At 46.1% G+C, this 1,446-nt stretch overlaps 1 annotated feature.

Annotated features, from left to right (window-relative positions):
- Positions 700 to 857: a silencer, noted in NCBI's record as "fragment chr5:154519696-154519853 (GRCh37/hg19 assembly coordinates)". NCBI's record gives its function as "represses an EF-1alpha promoter that drives an FKBP-Casp9 reporter gene in an ReSE screen in K562 erythroleukemia cells {active_cell/tissue: K562}" and the evidence as "EXISTENCE:reporter gene assay evidence [ECO:0000049][PMID:32094911]".

Genomic DNA, 1,446 nt, shown 5'->3' with positions numbered 1-1,446 from the left:
GGACACCCATTGTGCACCTCCAGTCAGAAACCTGGATGTTTCCATGGTAAGTCTAGACGCTCACATATTAATCACTAATTTGAAAATTGTGTAAAATGCTATGCAGGCCATGCTGCACACCTGTGTGGACTAGATTTAGCCTGGAGGCTGCTTGCTTATAACCTCTGAGTTCACAAAGCCTGCCAAACTGGGTTTTTCTTAAGCGGACTCATACAGGCTGTCCCTTCAAAGACAAACATCTCCACCTAGTAGTTGTTCTAAGAAGGGGCTTCGAGCATCAAATGTGAGTAGTGGGAGTCAGATCGTGAAATATTTGCGGTCCCTCCCAACCTTAGGTCTAAGTTTCCCTGACCCTCTCACTTCATCCATCCTGACCACTTACTAAAGTCCTCCTCATCCCCACACCACAGGTGGGCCTCAGGGCCACCTCATGAAGTCATCCACGATTAGTTAATCCTCCTTCATGTTTTTCCTTCCACAAAGAACTTCTCTACCACTTTTCCTTTAACTCTCTTGATTGCGTTACACTCTGGGTGTTATCACATCAACCTGTAATCAATATAACATTTATCAAGGACATATTTTACACTCCTTTTTAATGCCAGTCCTTCAAAATTATCTCCTCCAGGATTTTCTCTATGCTTTTCCTGGCCAGATCTGGAATTGGCTTTTGATAATTTTTTTTTTTTTTTTTGAGATGGAGTCCCACTCTGTCACCCAGGCTGGAGTACAGTGGCACAATCTCAGCTCACTGCAACCTCCGCCTCCCGGGTTTCGAGCAATTCTCCTGCCTCAGCCTCCCCAGTAGCTGCGATTACAGGTGCACACCACCACACCCACCTAACTTTTGTATTTTCAGTAGAGACAGGGCTTCGCCATGTTGGACAGGCTGGTCTCAAACTCCTGACCTCAGGTGATCTGCCCGCCTCAGCCTCCCAAAGTGCTGGGATTACAGGCATGAGCCACCACACCCAGCCTGATAAATATCTATTAAAGTGAAAAAAATGAGTGCTATTTTTATACAATAAGAATTAGCTCTACAGTTACCCATTTTTCATATTAAAAGGATCCAGTTTCCCATCACGTCTGCATGTGAGCCCCAGATGCTCAACTCCAGCCAGTGAGTGACCTCAGCTATCCCAGCCGAGGACAGTTAGGGCATTCCCTGGCTACCAACTGTCTCTGGCACCACCTGCTGGTCACTCATGTATTCACCAGACACAACGAAGACCGAGATTAAGGTTTCTAAAAGTGGACCAGAATCTATTTGCCTTGAAAAACAGAAATATACTTAAGGCTCAGAATGGACACGACAGGAGGATCTCCTCCCTGCTCACCCTTCCTCTGCTTCGTGCGGGGAGTAGGGCTTAAAACTTCTTTTATTTTAATGTAGCCACGGTGTTGTGCATAGTAGAACCACCGCAACCACGACGTCATCTTCACCCT

Source organism: Homo sapiens, chromosome 5, assembly GCF_000001405.40.
Source record: "Homo sapiens chromosome 5, GRCh38.p14 Primary Assembly".
Lineage (NCBI taxonomy): Eukaryota > Metazoa > Chordata > Mammalia > Primates > Hominidae > Homo > Homo sapiens.
Note: the sequence above shows the minus strand (reverse complement) of the source record. Positions and strands in the feature narration are given on the sequence as shown.